This window comes from Homo sapiens, chromosome 3 (assembly GCF_000001405.40).
Source record: "Homo sapiens chromosome 3, GRCh38.p14 Primary Assembly".
NCBI lineage: Eukaryota > Metazoa > Chordata > Mammalia > Primates > Hominidae > Homo > Homo sapiens.
Window position 1 is genome coordinate 79601647 of NC_000003.12, and position 21801 is coordinate 79623447.

General features: G+C 37.7%; 1 protein-coding gene across 10 annotated transcripts in view, besides 1 other annotated feature; it reads right to left on the reverse strand.

Moving 5' to 3' along the window:
* ROBO1 (roundabout guidance receptor 1) overlaps positions 1–21801 on the reverse strand; it is a 1170760-nt gene that overhangs the window by 1004408 nt on the left and 144551 nt on the right. The gene's annotated exons all lie outside the window — the stretch shown is intronic.
* Positions 16443–17642: an enhancer, noted in NCBI's record as "MED14-independent group 3 enhancer chr3:79667239-79668438 (GRCh37/hg19 assembly coordinates)". NCBI's record gives its function as "activates an origin of replication core promoter dependent on BRD2, BRD4, P300/CBP and CDK7 cofactors, and independent of MED14, by STARR-seq in HCT116 cells {active_cell/tissue: HCT116}" and the evidence as "EXISTENCE:reporter gene assay evidence [ECO:0000049][PMID:35650434]".

Genomic DNA, 21801 nt, shown 5'->3' on the forward strand with positions numbered 1-21801 from the left:
CTCATAAAGTCTATGTGTTTCTGAAGATTGCCTTTACCTTAGGCAAGAAATCATGGTAGATTAAAAAATAGAGAATGCTTAGAAAAACATTCTATTTACCAATATTTACCAGAGCAAAATGTACTCAGTTTTTGTTCACATTTGCTTTCATTTTGTACACAAATTAATTTCAAACACACTGCCTTGAATGTGTATGAAAACCTAAAATTAGTTCAATACTATTGGGAGAGTAGTCACAGGATCATTTTTAAATGGATGTGACATTGAAATTTAAGTCCATTATATGGGGTTGGAATTTTTAGTGTCTGAATAACTATGTTTTTATAGCTATTCGTATTACAGCATGATATTAATTTCTAAGCCATGAGTAGATTGTCCATTAATACTTAAATGAGCTGCAAATTTTTAGATTGCTTAAGAGCAAATACCTCTACAAACATTATTATTCTAGATGCATATACAGCCTAGTCAATCTTAGCAATTACCTTCCCTTATGTTGGGTTAGTTTATGAAGCTACAGCAGCAGGGTGAGGACGAAAGGAACAAGCATTAAATTTCAGACTGGTGATTAAATAATGCTATAGTAAGAGAGACATTAATGAAATAACAGAAGAGAAGGTCAAAAGTAATTTTCATATGTCAACATGCACAAAGATGTAACAAAAAGATTCATACACAAAAGGCTGTGCATGAAAGGTAGGGAAAATTTTTTCTGACTGTCAATTGTGTTGCGTGCATTCTAGAAGCCAAGGGTTTTTGAAAGGCATTTAGCTTTAAACCATTTCTTACTCCTTTGAATGTCCTCAGCAGGACCAGAAATGGAGGATTCAATTTTCAAAGATAATTGTGTCAGATAACTGTCTCTTGCCTTTTCAGCAAGTATCTGATAAACACCTAATTACTAACCAAGTGATTTCAGAGCTACACAGCTGGGCTGGTGAGAAGGCTACTGCAAAAGACTTGGTAATTCATTGTATCAAGATGAAAATGCAGTTGGATTGCAAATTAATTTAATTTATTTGACTAATGCAATTTTACCAACTATTATGAGGGAGAATTTATTATTTTAATGAAAGAGTATAAATTTCAACATTAAATCAATGATAGCCACACAAATAACTTCTCACCATAACTCATCAGAGAAAATCTACTGGAACTAAAAATAGGTCTGTAGAAATTCCAGGCAGTTTGCTTTCTTTGGGCAAGCTTTGTGCTATACTGATGGTATTCTAGTATTTTGTAGAAAAAAGCAGAATATTAATATTTTTGCATGTTAGATCTTGGCTCAACTCTTTTAATAGCGATATTAGCCATAAATACATAACTATTCATCTTCAAATGTATACACACATACATTCACTGACTCTTAACTACTTCTGAATGTCATTCCTTGTCATATGCCTGGCCTTTCCCTGTTATGTCCAACTGTCTATTCTGGGTTGTCATATGTAGTTTAAGGCCTAAAATTAGGACCCCATATTATGTACTGCCTTGACATCTGGTGAAATTGAGATGGCTTGAAATTAAGATGGCCTAAAATGGCTTATTGCAAGTTCCCTTCACATTCTGCTTTAATGGATGAGGTCTACTATCAAAACAACCCTCCTCATCAGGGAGACCAGGCAGTTTCCTGAATAACAGGTTTCATTACCTTGCCAGCCCAGAGAATTGCTCAAACAAGCCAAGCCAATCACATCCTTCTGGAAGAACCAAGGGCATCTCACCCTCTTGACACAACAATACCCCCCACAGCCCTTGAACTTCTGGCTGTTGACTCTATTCTGGAGAGTTACCCCTCTGTGACTCTGCTTAGTGAGTGGTATCCTCTATCCTGAGATGTGAGTATATGTGAGTAATCACTTGAGATCAACTGCTGCTGATCTAACCTGCGAGTGTTGGGTGTCACATGTTCAACCATCCCCATAACCCTAGGACGGGAATCCCTCTCTCACCAACAAAGAAATAAAGAGGATACTAAAACCTCATAAAACCACTGAGATTGGTCTAATGCTCAGACCTGTCTGTGCTTTGAGTAAATACATCATTTGTTTTGTGTCCTTTCAGGGTGATTGCCAAATTTTAGAGATCTGGAGGGGCAACTAAAATGATTGGAGGTATGGAGTAAAGTGCTTTTTTATGTCAATGAATAAGATGTACTGACATTTATTGAACACTTTCCCAATACCCTCACATAGTTCTATTAGTGTAGTGGCTGCTTGTATAGAATAATAGGGGATAAAGTAAAAAGAGAAAGTAACATAAAACAAAACAATGCATTCCAGTTACCAAAGGATGATCAGAAGAGAGATCGCTCTGCAGAACAGTTAAAGCTCACTCTGTTTCAACAAGTGATACACAACAGGTACTCTCACGCAGGAGTTGTTCTTTTAATAAACAATTTCATCTGAAAATAAGATTACTATTAGAAAGAGGTACATTTGTTTACCTTTCATTTATTTTACATTCTGCTATGCACTATTTCTATATGCCATGAGTCCCATTTTTTTGTCCTTGAGTTACTCCTATTTTAGGCAAGTTTGAGATACAGAGGCAAAAAGTGTAATCAGAATAAAGGGGGAACAAATCAAAACAAAAAAAAGTAGCTATGGGATCTAGAAGGGAGTATCTATTACAGGTTTACCTGCTAAAATTAAGATATGATCCTTATTTAAAGGTAATTATTATGTGCTTCCACATCTGCATACTAAACGGAAGCATTTGAAATGTTTTTGAACTTTTAAAATGTGAAATATTATGAAGTGAAGTAATCAAACATAAAATGGTGAATTTTAGTAATTACAGGATCAGAGAAAGAGTAGGCACTTGGTTCTTTGTTATTCTATTTTAGTCACTTTAAATGAGTTTTGAGGTGGAAAGAACAATTTTTGTTGCAAAGTAAATATACGGTTACATAGAATTTGCAAAGTTACATTTCAAATACATAATCCTTTACTAAGAATTATATCAAAGATTAGAAATGATACTGTGGGTGGGTGCCCAATTCCTCAGTACTAAATATAAGTTATTGCTTTCTACATTCTTTGTCTTTTGCATGGCAAAATAATGCCAAAAATGTATTACTTAGCCAATTTATTCTGTGGTCATTTTCTTGAAAATTCCATTTCAATACAAAGAGTTATTTTTTTGTTTTGTTCAAGCCAATTTTCTCATCGCTGCCTTTTGAATATTTTTCCTCTTATGTAAATAATTTCTACCAGTATTACGCAATGTTCTGCTATCTTAAGATAAAACAACAGCCAAAACTATTTGTTGCTTGTTTTCTTAACACATTCCATTTACTGCCAAGTTTAGTTACAGGTATTCCTTAAGAAGAGTTGTCTCTACTCACTTTTTCTATTACCATAATTTCTCTTCTCTTTTCTTATTACTTCAATCTGACTTTTGCTCCCATAACTGCACTGAACTTCTTACTAAGGTAGCTAATGACTTCCTTTATGCTAAAAAGGAATTGTCCGAAATGTTCAACGCAGTTTACAGCCTGTCTTTTGGAAACCCTTCTCTTAGAAACTGTTTTCTCATATACTCCTTGTTTTCCTCCTATCCTTCTGGCCACACTTTTTATGATAGTTTCCGTATTACTTTTTTTTTTAACTCTTCTTTTTCTCTGCCTTGCTTCTAAATATTGGTCTGTAAAGCGGCAGTCCTGGACTCTTTTCTCTTTCTAGATTCTTTTCTGGGAAAATTCCATCCTTAATAGTCTCTGTGTGCTAGTATTTCTCCAACCCAGCCTCTATCATGAGGTCAGACCCAAGTAGTCAAAAGGATATGTGACATCTTCATTCTCCTGCCCCACAGTAACCTCGAATTTAACATATTCAAACTTGAACTCTTGATTAAATCTTTCCCTTCATCTCTCATTTAAATATTTCTTCTCCAGTCTTTCCCAGCTCTACCATTCAGGTACTCAGGCTAGATTCCTGAGAACCAGCTTCTTGTTCCAACTTCCACGTCCCAGCCATCAGTATAGTCTGTTGATTTCAGCCAGGCATTCACAGAAACTTAAGCATCGCCATCCTCCCTTCCTACCTTTCATATCCAAACTGTCACTAAGTCCCATTCATTGCATCTCTAAATTATCAAATTTCCAAATTTCCTTCTGTCTTCAACATATCCACTTTAGACAAAAATCACCTTTGTTTTTCTTATGGATGTGACAATTGTCGCCTAACCAGTTCCTCCATTCCATTTTAGCTTCCATCTCTCCACTCTTCAAGAACAACAAGGGCTTTTTCAATGCTTTCGAGTAAAACACGCTCAGTGTAATATGTATAAAGTGCATTGATCTTAAGTATACAGATTTGGAAGTTTACATATATGTGTGTGTGTATATATATATATATATACCCATTTATATATACATGTACCCACATATATATATATATATACACCCATTTAGCCACCACCCTGATCACACAAATACCTTTGTTTTTATGTCAATAAGAGCTTTAATTTACTCATTTAAAAAAATTACTCATTTAATTTACTCATTTAAAAAAAATCCAAATGCAATGCGCTATTGTGTAAGTATAGTAAGAAAGACTAGAGATCTAATGTACAACACTAGAGATCTAATGTACAACACGAGGACTATAACTACAGTCTTTTCTAAGGATTCGGCTCCCTCATGTGTTCTCATTCATGAAATAGTCTCTTTCAAGCAACGTGACTCATGAATCTGAGTTGTTTTTGCATAGATTGATAATGAATGACCCTCTCTCTTTGTGTCTGTCTCCTCATCATCCATCCAGCCAAATTGTCTTTGCTAAGAGACATTTATTTTCTTAATTTTTTTTAGAGAAAGGGTCTTGCTTCCCTGCCCAGGCTGGACTCTGACTCCTAGGCTCAAGTGATTCTCCTGCCTCAGCCTTCTGAGTAGCTGGCACTACAGGCATTCACCACTGTGCCCAGCCATTTATGTATTACTTAACCTGTTATTCTATCCTACTACTGTCCACTGTGTCAATCCTATGACTCCTGGACAGCCTTATTTATCTCCTGCCCACTGGTGACATATAAATAGACCAGTGGTCACCCTTGATATCATATTTGCCAGATTTCTCTCTTATGGGCCACTTAGACCACCTGTGTTTATTCATTTTATTATTATTATATTTTTCAAGGTCTAAAACATTTACAAATCAACCGTTTCAAAAAATATTATTGATAAAGAATAATAAAAGATTATGTATTCCTGAAATAAATTTTTGAAGTAAGTTATTGCTTTACTAACTGTACTTTATTTAGCAGGACCATCAATGTAAGATATTCTAAGAATTTCTATACAGTAAGTCCCCGCTATTAGGGCTGAAAATCCCATGATTGTCCTTACTGAGATTTCCGATAGCAATGTCCTTAACCTATAATTAAGCATAATACAGTTAATTTTATTATTGCTTTTCTATTTTTCAATAACTGTTATTAAAACCTGCACACACACACACACACACACACACACACACACACACATAGTGGAACCTAAAAATGGCCTTACATACTAAGAACATTGAAATCTGGTGTGATTTTACTATATGGAAAAAAAGATGTTCTTTTTATATTGTTAAGGTTAATATATTTAAAATTTCTTCAACTTTTATCTTTGTGAATAAATTATATAAAAATAATCTATTCATAATATAAATATTATTTTTATAGTGACCTGAAAATTAAACATTTCTAAAATCAATTGCTCTCATAGCCTTTAAGTTACCCAGTGAGTATAAAAGTTTTGTTCATTTGATGGAATAATAAGCTTAAGTTTAAAAACTCAGAGAAAGACATAAGACTAACTTAAGGGTATCATTACTGTATTTTAAAACATATTAACATTAAAGAGTTTCCTAAGAAGTAACAGAAAATTTTTGATATTCTTAAAATTTTTTCCTCATTGCATTATAATATTATCTTCAATCAAAAACTACAAATTTGTATTTCCAAGTTTTTTTTTTTTCTTACTGGGCAATGGATTCAGCTGCATCCATTTCTTATTTCCACCTAATGCTTCTTAAATTAATTTTTTCTGATGAAAGTGAATTTAGATAAACACAGTAATTACGAAGCTGAAAAACTGGCAAATATTTTAAATAGATTTAATTCCTAAAATAAATTCTTCCTCTCTCATGCTGTCTGTTCAAATGCATACTCACGTGCGTGGCTCTCCCTAGAGAGGATGCATTTAATTGAATATGATATTTTACAGCCCTAAGGCATGTTTGCCATAACCAGGATGTTGAATATTTGCAGTCATTATAGAAATGGCTGTGTAACAAAAGTCTCACAGGATTCAAAACTAAACAGAATATTGAAGCTAAATCACGTTTATGCTGTATGTATGTGATACTACATTGATCAATTAGTACGATTTCATCAAATAACTGTATGAGTTTTATTCTTTACAAAACATGAAAATAAATAAACATGTTGTCAAGTATAGACAGTCCTGGGTATACAACTAAACTTTGTTACATGCATGTGCTTACAAGTTCGTCGTATGGAAATTTGGGTTATATTTGCTTGTTGAGATTATTATTAGCTTTACCATGTGGTCCACAAAAGCACCTTTAGTCCAAAATGGGGTTATAATAATTATCAGCTCTTCAGCCCTTCTCTGATATTATGTTTGCTCAAGATCCTACACTGCTCAAGACACTGAACTTTTCTGGCCCTAAACCAATTTAAATCACATCTCTCTTCCAAAGTGTGATCCTTTTGAGTTCTGTACTATCTCTCTCTCTCATATACCAAGAGTCTCAAGTGAGCTGTGAAAGTGTCACTATGAGTATGAGAAAACACACTGCTTCATAATTCTCTTGCACTCTAGCAGTTAGTGACACAGGGAAGGAAAGGGTTGTGTTGGGTCAGACTGTATTGGCAGGGGATGTTTACAAACGTGGGTTAAAAGGAATAAGCAATTCCTAAGATGATACCTGCTCAAATAGACTCTGATGGATGTTTTCCTATAAAACTAACCAGATTTCTGAATAAATAAAGCATTTATTTATTTATTTTGGCATCATGTAAATAGGGCCATAGACAACTAAATAATTAAATTGAACAAAGGAGCAATTTCTGTTATGATTCCAAACCTCTCTGTGTTTAAAGTGTTTGACTTCTTCCCTAATGATCACTCTTGCCTTGTGATAGATTTTGCTGTGGTTTGAATGTTCGTGTCCTCTCAAAAATACACATGTTGAAATTCCAACCTCCAATGTAATGGTATTAAAAGATATATTCATTTGAGAGCTATGAGGGCACTTCCCTTGTGAATGGGATTAAGTTTCTTATAAAGGAGATGTCTTACAGTGTTACCTAGGTTGTTCTTCACTCTTCTGCTAAATAAGCCTTAGCATTCGTCCCATTTGTCCTTTTGACTTCTGCCATGTAAGGACACAGCAAGTAGGTCCTTACAAAATGCTGGCATCTTGATCTTGGACTTACCAGCTTCCAGAATAAATTTCTGTTCTCTATAAATTAGAGTCTCAGATATTTTGTTTTAGCAGCACAAACAGACTAAGACACAATTCATCATTTTTAAAAAGGCCCGCCTTACCAAAATATCACCATTTTCTACCACAAGTTGAATTGTTTGTCTTGCTAGCAACTTCTAAGGAAAAAAAAAACTGAAAAAAAAATTAAAGGACTACCATTTCACTCCTATTAGGATGGCAATTATCAAAGAGACAGAAAATAAGTGTCAGTAGGGATGAAGAAAAATTGAAACATCCGTGCACTGCTGAAGGAAATGTAAAATGTGGCAGACATTATAGAAAACAGTATGGCAAATTCCTTAAAATAGTTAAGATAGAATTTCCACATGATTCAGAAATGCCACTTCTGGGTATTTAGCTAAAATAACTGACAGTAGGTACTGAAAAAATATTTGTACATTCACATTTACAGCAGCATTATTCATAATATTCAAAAGGGGAAATTTACCCATATGTCCATGGATAGGTGAACAAATAAACAAAATGTGGTATAACATACAATGGAGTATCGTTCAGCCTTAAAAAGAAGGAAATTCTGTCACATGCTATGACATGGAAGAACCATCGAGACATTATGCTACGTGCCATAAGTTGGTCACAAAACGACAAATACTCTGATTCCACATATGAGGTGTTTCAGATAGTCAAATTTGTAGAGATGGAAAGTAGACCGGAGGTTTGCAGGAGTTGAGGGAAGAAGAAAATGAGGAGTTATTGTTTAAAGGGTATATGATTTCCATTTTGCAAGATGAAAACAGTTCTGGAGAAGAATGGTCATGATGGTTGAACCACAACCTGAATGAATGTAATGCCTTTGAACTGTATAGGTAAAGATGGTTAAAATTGAAATTTTATGTTATATATATTTTATCAGTATTCTAAAATTATAAATAGACTAAAATATAAATTAGCTATTTATATTTGAATAGTTTATTGAAACATTTTAATAATATATTGTTAATTTAGGTCATTAGAAAACTTCTGATCATCAATACAGTCGTCTCTCTTTATCCGTGGGGGATACATTCCAGGATCCCCAGTGGATGCGCAAAACCATGGATAGTACTGAACCTTAAATATGCTGTTTTTTCCTATACGTACATATCTATGATGACTTTAATTTATAAAGTAGGTACAATATGATATTGACAATAGTAATCAATAATAAAATAGGATAAGTATAATAATAAGAGTTAAGTGAACGTGGGCTCCCTTTCTCTCTTTCTCTCTCCCTCTCTCTCTCAAATTATCTTATTGTACTGTTCCGGGGTAACTGAAACTTCGGAAAGCAAAAATACTGTATTAAAAGATAGTGTTTTTCCTGTGATAATAAAAATATTTAAATTGACTGAAATTTTACAAAATATTGGACCTTGTTGAATTACCTGGAAAACAAATATTATATTCAAATACTGATACAAGTTTACATTGAAGCTTCATAAGACTTTGTGAAGCATGTTAATTGTTTAGTTAACAACACAGAAGTTCATGTTCTGTGAGCAAGCCTTCAGATTCTTGCTGTGGAAAGACGAGATATCATACTTTGCTAGTTAATACACTTTTGGCCTCAAGTGTCAGAAACCCAGCTCAACTGACTTTAAACATGAAGAGGAATTGAAGAAGGGATACCATGTTAGTTCTTTACATCCAAAGCAGTGTTAAATGATTATGCTTCAAGAACAACGGAATTGTAACACAGGTATCATGGAAAATAAGAACTCAAAAAACATTAGGAGTCTATCAACACTTCTCTGAGTTCTGACTTCATATTCTTTATCTCACTTGCAGAATTAGTTTCTTCATATGGTAGAAAACAAAGCTGCACAGTGATTGGCTTATTATAATCTCTTTAGCACTTGAGGCTGATCAAATATGAATGGATGTACCATTTTGTAATAAACTCATACTCCCTACATGGTACAAGAGTCAAAGGCACAAATTCTGGAGGAAAGAGGTAATGGATGTAGAGGGGCTAAGTTGAGCAGAAGTTCAGGGAAGGTACAAACTTATCAATTTCAACCTTGGCTAACAAATAGGCATCTTTTAATAGAAAAAAATTCCACGGTTCTTCAGTATGACCATAAAGTATATTTATGATAATATCATTTGAATATGTACAAATAGCATACAAATCTATCATGTTTATACCTCATAAAATATAAAATAACAATTAAAATTAAACATAAATGATAGAAAACCCAGAAAATTCAAATTAAAATCATTTGACTTAAATTAACTAAATGAAATCGATGGGATATTATTTTTCTTTAATGAAAATGGTATTTGGAATTTAAATATGAGAATAAGAAAGAATAGCAAAGACTTGGAACCAACCCAAATGTCCATCAATGATAGACTGGATAAAGAAAATGTGGCACATATACACTATGGAATACTATGCAGCCATAAAAATGGATGAGTTCATGTCCTTTGCAGGGACATGGATGAAGCTGGAAACCATCATTCTCAGCAAACTAACACAGGAACAGAAAACCAAACACTGCGTGTTCTCACTCATAAGTAGCAGTTGAACAATGAGAACACATGGACACAGGGAGGGGAACATCACATACTGGGCCTTGTCAGGGAGTGGGGGGACTAAGGGAGAGATAGCATTAGGAGAAATACCTAATGTGGATGATGGGTTGAGGGGTGCAGCAAACCACCATGGCACGTGTATACCTATGGAAAAAACCTGCGCATTCTGCATATGTATCCCAGAACTTAAAGTATAACAACAACAACAAAAAAAGAATAAAGTCCAAAAGAAAATAAATAAAAAAAGAAAAGAAAGAGATGAAGTAATGTTTTTCAGTTTCCATGGATATAATACCATGTACATTGTGGTCACAATTCTGTAATGACTATTATCTTTTTTTTTATTATTTTTTTATACTTTTAAGTTATAGGGTACATGTGCACATTGTGCAGGTTAGTTACATATGTATACATGTGCCATGCTGGTGCGCTGCACCCACTAACTCGTCATCTAGCATTAGGTATATCTCCCGATGCTATCCCTCCCCCCTCCCACCACCCCACAACAGTCCCCAGAGTGTGATATTCCCCTTTCTGTGTCCATGTGATCTCATTGTTCAGTTCCCACCTATGAGTGAGAATATGCGGTGTTTGGTTTTTTGTTCTTGCGATAGTTTACTGAGAATGATGATTTCCAATTTCATCCATGTCCCTACAAAGGACATGAACTCATCATTTTTTATGGCTGCATAGTATTCCATGGTGTATATGTGCCACATTTTCTTAATCCAGTCTATCATTGTTGGACATTTGGGTTGGTTCCAAGTCTTTGCTATTGTGACTAATGCTGCAATAAACATACGGGTGCATGTGTCTTTATAGCAGCATGATTTATAGTCCTTTGGGTATATACCCAGTAATGGGATGGCTGGGTCAAATGGTATTTTCAGTTCTAGATCCCTGAGGAATCGCCACACTGACTTCCACAATGGTTGAACTAGTTTACAGTCCCACCAACAGTGTAAAAGTGTTCCTATTTCTCCACATCCTCTCCAGCACCTGTTGTTTCCTGACTTTTTAATGATTGCCATTCTAACTGGTGTGAGATGGTATCTCATTGTGGTTTTGATTTGCATTTCTCTGATGGCCAGTGATGATGAGCATTTTTTCATGTGTTTTTTGGCTGCATAAATGTCTTCTTTTGAGAAGTGTCTGATCACTTCAATCATTGCAAAACAATGTGCAAGTCCTCCTCTAGTACTTGCACATTGTTTTGCAATGATTGAAGTGATGCTATTAGTCATCAAGGGGATCAAAAATTAAAACATAAAAATCATGTAGTACTACACATTTTTAAGGATGGATTTTCAGATATTTTCAGAATATGAATAATTAGATAATAATTGACATAATTTTACTATTAAAGTATTATAACAAAAAATGCATGTCCTTAGCTTGAGTAACATTAGAATTAGACTACTGATGGAATTTCAAAAGGACTGGGAAAGACTGAAAAAGGGTCAAGTATATTTTGGAGGAGGAACAAATAGTTTTTTCATTTAGCTACACTGCTTTATTTGAAGGTTAAACTCAGCTTTAAAACTACTATTTTATAGGGTTAACATTGTTTTGTCTACTGGTTTTTAATACATTTCTATATTATTATGCATAATGAAAAGTAATTGGTTTGGGATTGATTAAAAGAAACGTGCTATAAATTAAAGATATATCTTTTAAATTCTTGAGCAACAGCTGAGAAAGAAAGAAAGAAGTATAACTAACAAGCCAATAGTAGATATAAAACAAAATCATTAGAAATTATTAAAAATACTCAACTAACCCAAAAGAATAAGGGACAAAAGCTATAAACTACAGAGAGATAAAATATAAAATGGCAAAATGGCAGATTTAAGTTAAACCATATCAATAATTGCATGAAGTGTATATATCTCAATCAAAAGGCAAACATGGTCAGATTAGATGAAAAAACAAGAGCCAATTATATTATAAGATCTCTAAAAGAAACACACAATATCACTTGTAATACTGGCCAACTGTTTTAGATATGAAAGTCCCAGAGAGGGAATTCACTGGCTTTGCTTTGCCAAGGTAACTATCTTTAGACTGATCAAATGTTACCAGAGTGAAACACACAATAAATATAATCACATAATTGACTAAAAGTAAAAGGTTCGGAGAAAGATGTGTCATGAAAACACTAAATTGATGAAATTTGGAATGACCATACAGGTATTAACATCAAATAAAGCCAACTCAGAACATTACCAAGGATAACAACAAATGTAAAAGCAATAAGACAATTCATCAAGAAGACATAAAAATCTTAAGTGTGTATACACCTAACAACAGAGATTTAAAATGCATAAAGAAAAAAGATAAAATAAAAGAAATAGAGAAAACTACAATAACAGAGACTTTTGTCTTAATAACTCATAGAAAAGAATGAGAAAATATCATTAGGAATACAGAAAACCTAAACTACACTACCAACCAATTTGACCTAATAGATATTTATAGAACACTCTAGCAAACAGCAGCATAACAAATATTATTTTCAACTACACATGACACATTCTGCAAGACAGTGCTCATTCTGGGCCAGAAAATAAAACTCAAACTTAAAAGAATGAAATGGAGTTTAAACAGAAAACACTAAGGAAGATGCATGGGAAATTCCCAAATGTTTGGAAATTAAATACTGCATTTATATATCACCCACATGTATCCAAGGGAAAGTCAAAAGAAAAATAAAATATGTTGAACTAAATGGAAATGAAAACATAACATACAAATTCATGGAATGCAGATAAGTAGCACTTAGAGTAAAATTTAAAGCATTATAAGAAATAAGTGTGCTTAGCGATGCCTCATGATATTTGGTCAATGTATAAAAATTAATTGTATTTATATAGTCTAGCAATAAACTGGAAATTAAAGTATTAAAAAACTATAACTTTTCTTAGAACAATATAAGTCATGAAATAAAGATACATTTAACAAATAAATGTAAGATTTCTGTGCTGAAAACTTAAAAATACTGATGAGAAAAATGAAAGAATATGTACATATTTGCCAGTTCCATTGATCACAAGACTCAATATCATTATAGCATCAATTTTTCTCAAATTGATCTATGATTTCAATGCAATCCCAATTATAATCATGGACATTAAAAATATAAATAAAGAGTCTTATTTGGAAAATTCACTCTATGATTTCAGTGCAATCCCAATTATAATCATGGACATTAAAAAATAGAAATAAAGAGTCTTATGTGGAAAATTCACATTGTAAACCAAAAATAGAATTTTGAGCACTCTGTCCTCACCCCTCAACAGGGCAACCAACTGAATGGACCCCTCCTGTCTGTCAAGGGAATTCCAAAAATAACCTGAAACAAGAGTATAGGCCATAATGGGAACAAGTAGTCAAACATCTCTCATTATATCCTCCTCCCTTTGCAATTTAGGCACAATCGACCGGTGTAACATTAAAACGGATACTTAAGATGATCTTTTCTCTCTGAAGCCTGCTACCTGAAGGCTTCTTCAGCATAATAAACCTTTGCTCTCCATAACTCCTTATCTTAACTTAAATACTAACTTCTATTGATTCCAGGTCTTTACATAAACTCAACTAATTACCAATCAGATAATCTTCAAATCTACCTATGACCTAGAAGCCTCCACTTTGAGTTGTTCCATATTTCCAGACTGAACCAATGCACAACGTACATGTATTGATTGATGTCTTATGTCTCCCTAAAACATATAAATCCAATCTATAGCCCAACCACCTTGGGCACATGTTCTGAGGACCTCCTGAGACTTTGTCATAGGAACGTACTTAGCCTTGGCAACATAAACTTCTAAATTGGTTGAGATCTGTCCGAAATAATTTTGGTTTACAGCACTCAAACCTAAGCTAAAAATATAGATTAATCAAAATAGCTATGAAAAAGAACAAAATATGAGGATTCACACTACCTGATTTCAAGGTTCAAACATGAAGACAGGCTATATTGGCCTAAAGATAAACATGTAGAACAAACAAATAGATTAGAAAGCCCAGAAGTAGACCCAGACAAATACAGACTCATACATATATAATCAATAGGCAAAGGTGCCAAGGTAATCCAATAAGGAATGGGCAATATTTGCACAAAAATGAATCTCTATGCTTACATTTTACCGTATAAAAATAGTGCAAGTTTTCTTTTTATCAACATGGCAGACTAGAGATGTCAGATGCCAGTTCTCCTCATAAAGAAGATCCAAAGTTACAGGCCCAAGGGAAAAACTGAATTGCAGCAAGAGTCTAGCAGAGAGTGACCACTGAGGAACTTGCAGTTCCACGGAAAGAATAGGTGGAGGTGTTTCTTTGCTCCCCCAAACCTATGGTGGCTTGCTGACAGCCAAATTGTTGGAGAGCTAGTCTACCCTCATGAGCCCAGGCACTACTTTTGGCAGTGATTTGGGAACTTCTGAAGAGCAGAGCATCAGGTGGTCAGCTTGTGCAGGTTCATTCACTCTTTCTTCAAATCTGAGCTGAGGCAGTAGACATCATCCTGGCATCATACTGGTTGTGTACCAGTTGTGGGCCATTAACATGCCAAGAGAATTTCAGTCCTTGTGTCTCCACATCACTAGGTGCTCCATGAATATTTCCTAGAGTGCACTTTGGAAAATTCACATTGTAAACAAAAAATAGAATGTATAGAAAAAATATAATAGAAAATAGAAATATGACTGGGACAACCATAGGAGATGGTTGCTCTCAGGAGCTGTAGGATCCCAAGAGATTTAGCCCACAATATGGGACGGCCCTAGGGTAAAAATTATTGCAGCCATCAAAGTGTACTTTGGGACATAGGAAACCAGATAACATGGTCTCCCTGGCCAGAGAGCCCCCTTTTTGTGACCAGAAGGTGACTGTGTGCTTCCATTCAAAATGTGGGCCTGGTGCAGATCAATGAAAAAGGGGAGTGTTGCTCCATTCCAGTGGGCAGGAGGCACGAGTGGCTAGAAATGGATGTGAAGAGAGGATCTTCTCTCACCCCCTTATCCACTGCTGTGGATATGGCATGTCTTTTGGTACTGGGAGTTGGCACAGGCTTACTTGAAGACAGCCATTCCAGTGCTATTTAGGGCAGCTGCATCCCCACCGAAATTGTGTCTGCCTGTCCAGACTTGCACGAAGGGTTGTGCTCATGTCCCACTCCATATGTGGAGCAGCAGCATTTCTGCAGTGGACTGCAGACCAGCCACAGAGCTGTCTGTTTGGGCTAAGGGAAGAGGATCCACCCCAAGGCCATTTTGGTGGTAGCTGCAGTTCAAGCATTTTCCATGGACTTCAGTTACATTGTGGCCTTGAGATAAAGCACAATGTCTTTTTGAAATGAAGCTCATGAGCCCTGGGATGAGGGTATGATAGGGAAATGAATCACATTTCTACCTGCCTAGGACAAGGAACTAGTGTATCCCTCTCCCTACACCACCCTATGGAGACCTCACCCCATATGACCATGAACTTCCTCAACCATCCCAGTCATAGTATGTGCTTCTGGTCATCTTCAGGGTGTTTGAGAGTGAGCCAGCTCTTAGTTGTAATTGCCATCTACTGGACTGGAGGCTGAATTTCACAACCAAATAAAAATACTTGTTGACAGAAGGGCATGGTGCTAGGAAAGAAGATAATCTTCCTGAGACCTCCACATTCCAGGACATGAAAAATATAGTGAGATGGTTCATATGCCCAATACATTGTTGCAAATGTCAGCATTTCAAAAAACCATACACAGAAATTATCTTTAAAAAGGAATAAATATGAAGCCTTGCCCCGTGAAAGCAACCAGAATTGAAGGCAGACAATTATATACAACTTATATTACAGCCCCAGCATCAAGAAAGAAAAGTATGAAGAAGTGAAAGCAAATTCAAACATAAGAAGAGACAGCTCCTCCAGATGAGAAGGAATCAGAGTAAGAACTCTTACAGTACAAAAACACAGTGATTCGCCACTCCCAAAGGATCACACTCTCTCTAGCAATGGAACCTAACCAACAGGGAATTCTGAAATGACAGATAATTCAAAGTGAAATGTAAGAAAGCTCAATGAGATGCAAGAGGCCACTGCACTCCAGCCTAAGTGACAAAGTGAGACTCTGTCTCAAAAAAAAAAAAAAAAAAAAGAGCAATCCAAGAGAACCAACACAAAGAAATCAGATAAACAATTCAAGTTATACATGAAAAATTGACTAAAGAGATATATTAAAAAAAAAAAAAAGAACTTCTGGAAATAAAAAATACATTAAAAGATTTACAAAATGTAGTTGAAAGCTTAAAACTAGGTTAGATCAAACAGAAGAAAGAATTTAAGAGCCTGAAGACCAGGTCCTGTGAATTAATCCAGTCACACAAAAATAAAGAAAAAAGAATTTTTAAAAAATGAACAAAGGCTTCAGGAAATAGAGGATTATGTAAAAAAATACGAACCTATGAGATATATGCATTTGTGAAAGAGAAGAAGAAAAGGTAAAAAGTCAGGAAAACATATCTGATGACATAATTTCTAAAAATTTGGTCTAGATAAGGATTTAAACATCCAGATACAAGAAGCTAAAATAACAACTGGGAGAAACTCTAAAAAACAAATCTTATTGTCAGGCCTCTGAGCCCACATCTGCATGTACACATCCAGATGGCCTGAAGCAACTGAAGAACCACAAAAGAAGTGAAAATAGCCAATTCCTGCCTGAACTGATGACATTCCACCATTGTGATTTGTCCTGCCCCACCCTAACTGATCAACTGACCTTGTGACATTACTTCTCCTGGACAATGAGTGTCAGAAGCTCCCCACTGAGCACCTTGTGACTGCCACCCCTGCCCACAAGAGAAAACCTCCCTTTGACTGTAATTTTCCACTACTTACCCAAATCCTATAAAACTGCCCCACCCTTATCTCCCTTTGCTGACTCCTTTTTCAGACTAGTCTGCCTGCACCCAAGTGATTAAAAAGCCTTTTTGCTCACAGAAAGCCTGTTTCATGGTCTCTTCACATGGACGCACATGACATTTGGTGCCTCACTCCATGAGGAGATCCACCTACGACCTCGGGTCCACAGACCAGCCCAAGGAACATCTCACCAATTTCAAATTGGGTAAGTGGTTTTTTCACTCTCTTCTCCAGCCTCTCGTGCTACCCTTCAATCTCCCTGTCCTTCCAATTCCAGTTATTTTTCCTCTCTGGAAGAGAAAAAGGAGACACATTTTATCCGTGGACCCAAAACTCCAGCGCCAGTCACGAACTCAGGAAGACAGTCTTCCCTTTGTGTCTGATCATCATGCGGACACCTGCCTTGATCATTCACCCACATTCCATTGGTGTCTGATCACTGCGAGGACACCTGCCCTCATCATTCACCCACATTCCACTGGTGTCTGATCACTGCAGAGACACCTGCCCTCATCATTCACCCACATTCCATTGGTGTCTGGTCACCGCAGGGATGCCTGCCTTGGTCATTCACCCACATTCCCTTAGTGGCAAGTCAATTGTGGGGACAACTGCTTTGGCTGCACACCCACATTACAGCCCAGGGCTGCTCACCACCCCCTTCTCTGTGTCTCTACCTTTCTGTTTAAACTTACCTCCCTCACTATGGGCAATCTTCCACTCTCCATTCCCCCTTCTTCTCCCTTAGCCTGTGTTCTCAAGAACTTAAAACCTCCTGAACTCACACCTGACCTAAAACGTAAATGTCTCATTTTCTTCTGCAACACTGCTTGGCCCCCATACATACTCGATAATGGTTCTAAATGGCCAGAAAATGGCACTTTACATTTCTCCATCCTACAAGATCTAGATAACCCTTCTATTACCTCCCTTCCTCACACCCAGTCTGGCTTACAGTTTTGTTCCACGACTAGCTCTCCCCTACCTGCCCAACAACTTCCTCTTAGAGAGGTGGCTAGAGCTGAAGGCATAGTCAGGGTACATGTGCCTTTTTCTCTATTGGACCTCTCCCAGATCAGTTAGCATTTAGGCTCTTTTTCATCAAATATAAAAACCCAGCCCAGTCCATGGCCTGTTTGGCAACAACCCTTAGAAGCTTTACCACCCTAGACCCAGAGGGGACAGAAAACAGTCTTATTCTGAATATCCATTTTATTACCCAATCCACTCCTGATGTAAGAAAAAGGTCCAAAAATTGGATTCCAGCCCTCAAACCCCACAACAGGACTTAATTAACCTCGCCTTCAAGGTGTACAATATAGAGAACAGGCATCCAAGTGGCAACATATTTCTGAGTTGCAATTCCTTACCTCCACTGTGAGAGAAACCCCAGCCACATCTCCAGCATACAAGAACTTCAAAACACCTAAGATGCAATGGTTAGGCATTCCTACAGGAACTCCTCCCTCAAGATCTTGCTTCAAGTGCCAGAAATCTGGCCACTGGGCCAAGGAATGTCAACAGCCCAGGATTCCTCCTAAGCTGTGTCCCGTCTGTGCGGGACCCCACTGGAAATTGGACTGTCTAACTCACCCGGCAACCACTCCCAGAGCCCCTGGAACTCTGGCCCAAGGATCTTGGACTGACTCCTTCCCAGAACTTCTTGGCTTAGGGGCTGAAGACTGATGCTGCCCGATCGCCTCGGAAGCCTCCTGGACCATCACAGACACTTTGGGTAACTCTTACAGTGGAGGGTAAATCCGTACCCTTCTTAATCAAAACGGAGGCAACCCACTCCACATTACCTTCTTTTCAAGGGCCCCTTTCCCTTGCCTCCATAACTGTTGTGGGTATCGACGGCCAGGCTTCTAAACCTCTTAAAACTCCCCAACTCTGGTGCCAACTTGGACAACATTCTTTTATACTCTCTTTTTTAGTTGTCTCCACCTGCCCAGCTCCCTTATTAGGTCATTTTAACTAAATTATCTGCTTCCCAGACTATTCCTGGGCTACAGCCACACCTCATTGCCACCCTTTTCCCCAGTTCAAAGCCTCCTTCACATCCTCCCCTTGTGTCTCCCTACCTTAAACCATAAGTATGGGATACCTTTACTCCCTCCTTGGCAATTGATCATGCACCCCTTATCATCCCATTAAAATCTAATCACCCTTACCCCACTCAACACCAATATCCCATTCCACAGCAGGCTTTAAAAGGGTTAAAGCCTGTTATCACCCACCTGTTACAACATGGCCTCTTAAAGCCTACAAATTCTCCTTACAACTCTCCTGTCCTACCTGTCCAGAAACTGGACAAATCTTACAGGCTGGTCCAGGATCTTTGCCTTATCAACCAAATTGTCTTGCCTATCCACCCCATGGTGCCAAACCCATATACTCTCCTATCCTCAATATCTCCCTCCAGAACCCATTATTCTGTTCTAGATATCAAACATGCTTTCTTTACTATTCCTGTACACCCTTCATCCCAGCCTCTCTTCCCTTTCACTTGGACTGACCCTGATACCATCAGTCTCCGCAACTTACCTGGTCTGTACTGCTGCAAGGCTTCAGGGACAGCCCTCATTACTTCAGTCAAGCCCTTTCTCTTGATTTACTTTCTTTCCTTGTGAGCCCTGCCCCTGCCCACAACAGAAAAATCCCTTTTAACTGTAATTTTCCACTATCTACCCAAATCCTATAAAACTGCCCCACCCCTATCTCCCTTTGCTGACTCCTTTTTCGGACTCAGTCTGCCTGCATCCAGGGGATTAAAAAGCTTTATTGCTCACACAAAGCCTGTTTGGTGGTCTCTTCACATGGACGTGCATGACACTTATCAAGGCTCATAGCCATCAGACTGTCAATAATCAACATGAAGGAAAAATCCTAAAAGCATTTAGAGAGAAGCATCAAATCACCTATAAAGGAAAACCTATCAGATTAACAGCGGACTTCTGAGTAGAAACCTTATAAGCCAGAAAGGACTGAGGTTTTATTTTCAGTCTTTTTCTAAAGAAAAGAACTGAAAGCCAAAAATTTTGTGCCCTGCTAAACTACCCTTCATAAGTGAAGAAGAAATAGTCTTTCTCAGAGGAGCAAATGCTAAGGGAATTCATCACCACTAGACCACTGCTATAAGATATGCTCAAAGGCATTTAAACATGAAAATATAAGGATAATATTTGTATCAAAAAATCATATGTAAATGAAAGGCTCATAGATTTCATAAAGCAATTGCGCAGTTGAGACTACAAGGCAACTACGTAACAACATAATGACTGTAATAAAACCTGGGGAGCGGGCCAAGATGGCTGACTAGAAACAGCAGCATTCCGAGGCTCCCATAAAAAAATAATAATGATAATAAGCATGTGAATTCTTCACCAGCAACAAAGGTATTCATATTCTCTCATCAGAACTGACTAGGAGCCTGGCATGACCCACAGAGAGAAGGAAGAACAGTGTGGTTTGGCAGCCCACCTGAAAGCCACAGAGGGCAGGGGAGCCACCTCTCCACAGTCAAGGGAAGTGGTGAGTGAGCATGCTACCCAGACAGGGAAACTGCTTTTTCCATGGAACTGTGCAAACCATGGATTGGAAAATCCCACTCATGAACCCACTCCACCAGAGCCTAGTGTCCCAACCCTGGAACGCACAAATTCCCAACAGCCTGTCAGCTGGAACCTGCTTAAGCCTCCTGAACTCTTGAGGGAAGGGGCGACCAGCACCCCAACTGTGGTTGCCTACTGTCTAAGCTTTTGGAACTCCTTGGGGGAGGGGTAGCAGCTGGTACTGGGACTCACAGCTGCCTAATACACTGAGCTCCCTGGTCAGGGAAAGTGCAGCATCCATCTCTGTAGCTCCAGCCTGTGCTTTTCCCCTGCTGGAGCCAGGAAGGCTGGATGGCTTTTTCCCAAGACTTGTCCCCCAACAGCCCAACATACTGGCTGTGGCAGTCTGTGACAAGAGTGCCTCTTGAGGCCTGACCCTGACCCATCCTTCCTCATTGGGTTGGGCTTCCCTGCAGGAACTCCAATAACTCCAGCCAGAGGCTCAGGGATGGAACCTGATCTCCCTGGGCTTGAGCCCCTAGTGGGAGAGGTGGCCGCAGACATAGCTTTTCCTGCTGGTAGTTCTGAGGAATCTGGGCAGCCTAGATGAGTGGGTTTCCTCCTAGTGAGGTACACCCCCTCCACCAAAGGACAAAGTGCTTCATTAAACAGGTCTTGTTCCCTGTACCACCCAACTGAGTGAGACCCTCCAACAGGGGTATTCAGACACATCCTATACAGGAGCAATCCTACTGGAATCAGGTTGGTGCTCCTCAAGGTCAGAGGTCCCAGAAGAAGGAGCCAGCACCCATCTTTGCTATTCTCCAGCCTCCTTGAGTGACATCTCCAGGTGCAAGAGCGAATCAGATGAATGGGGCCTGACGTGAACCCCCAGGAATCTGCAGCAGCCCTGCAGAAGAGGGACCTGACCATTGAAAGAAAAACGAACCTACAGAAAGCAGTAACAATGGCATCAACAACAACAACAACAACAACAACAACAAAACCTTCACAATAACTCCATCCAAGTGTCAGCAGCCTCAAAGATCAAAACTAGACAAACTCACAAGGATGAGAAAGAATCAATGAAAAATTGCTAAAAACCCAAAAGGCCAGAATGTCTCTTCTCCTCCAAACAATCGCAACGTCTCTCATTCACGGACACAGAACTGGATGGAGGATCAGATGGATGATTTGACAGAAGTAGGCTTCAGAAGATAGGCAATAAAAAACTATGCGGAGCTAAAGGATCATGTTCTAACACAATGCAAAGATGCTAAGAACAT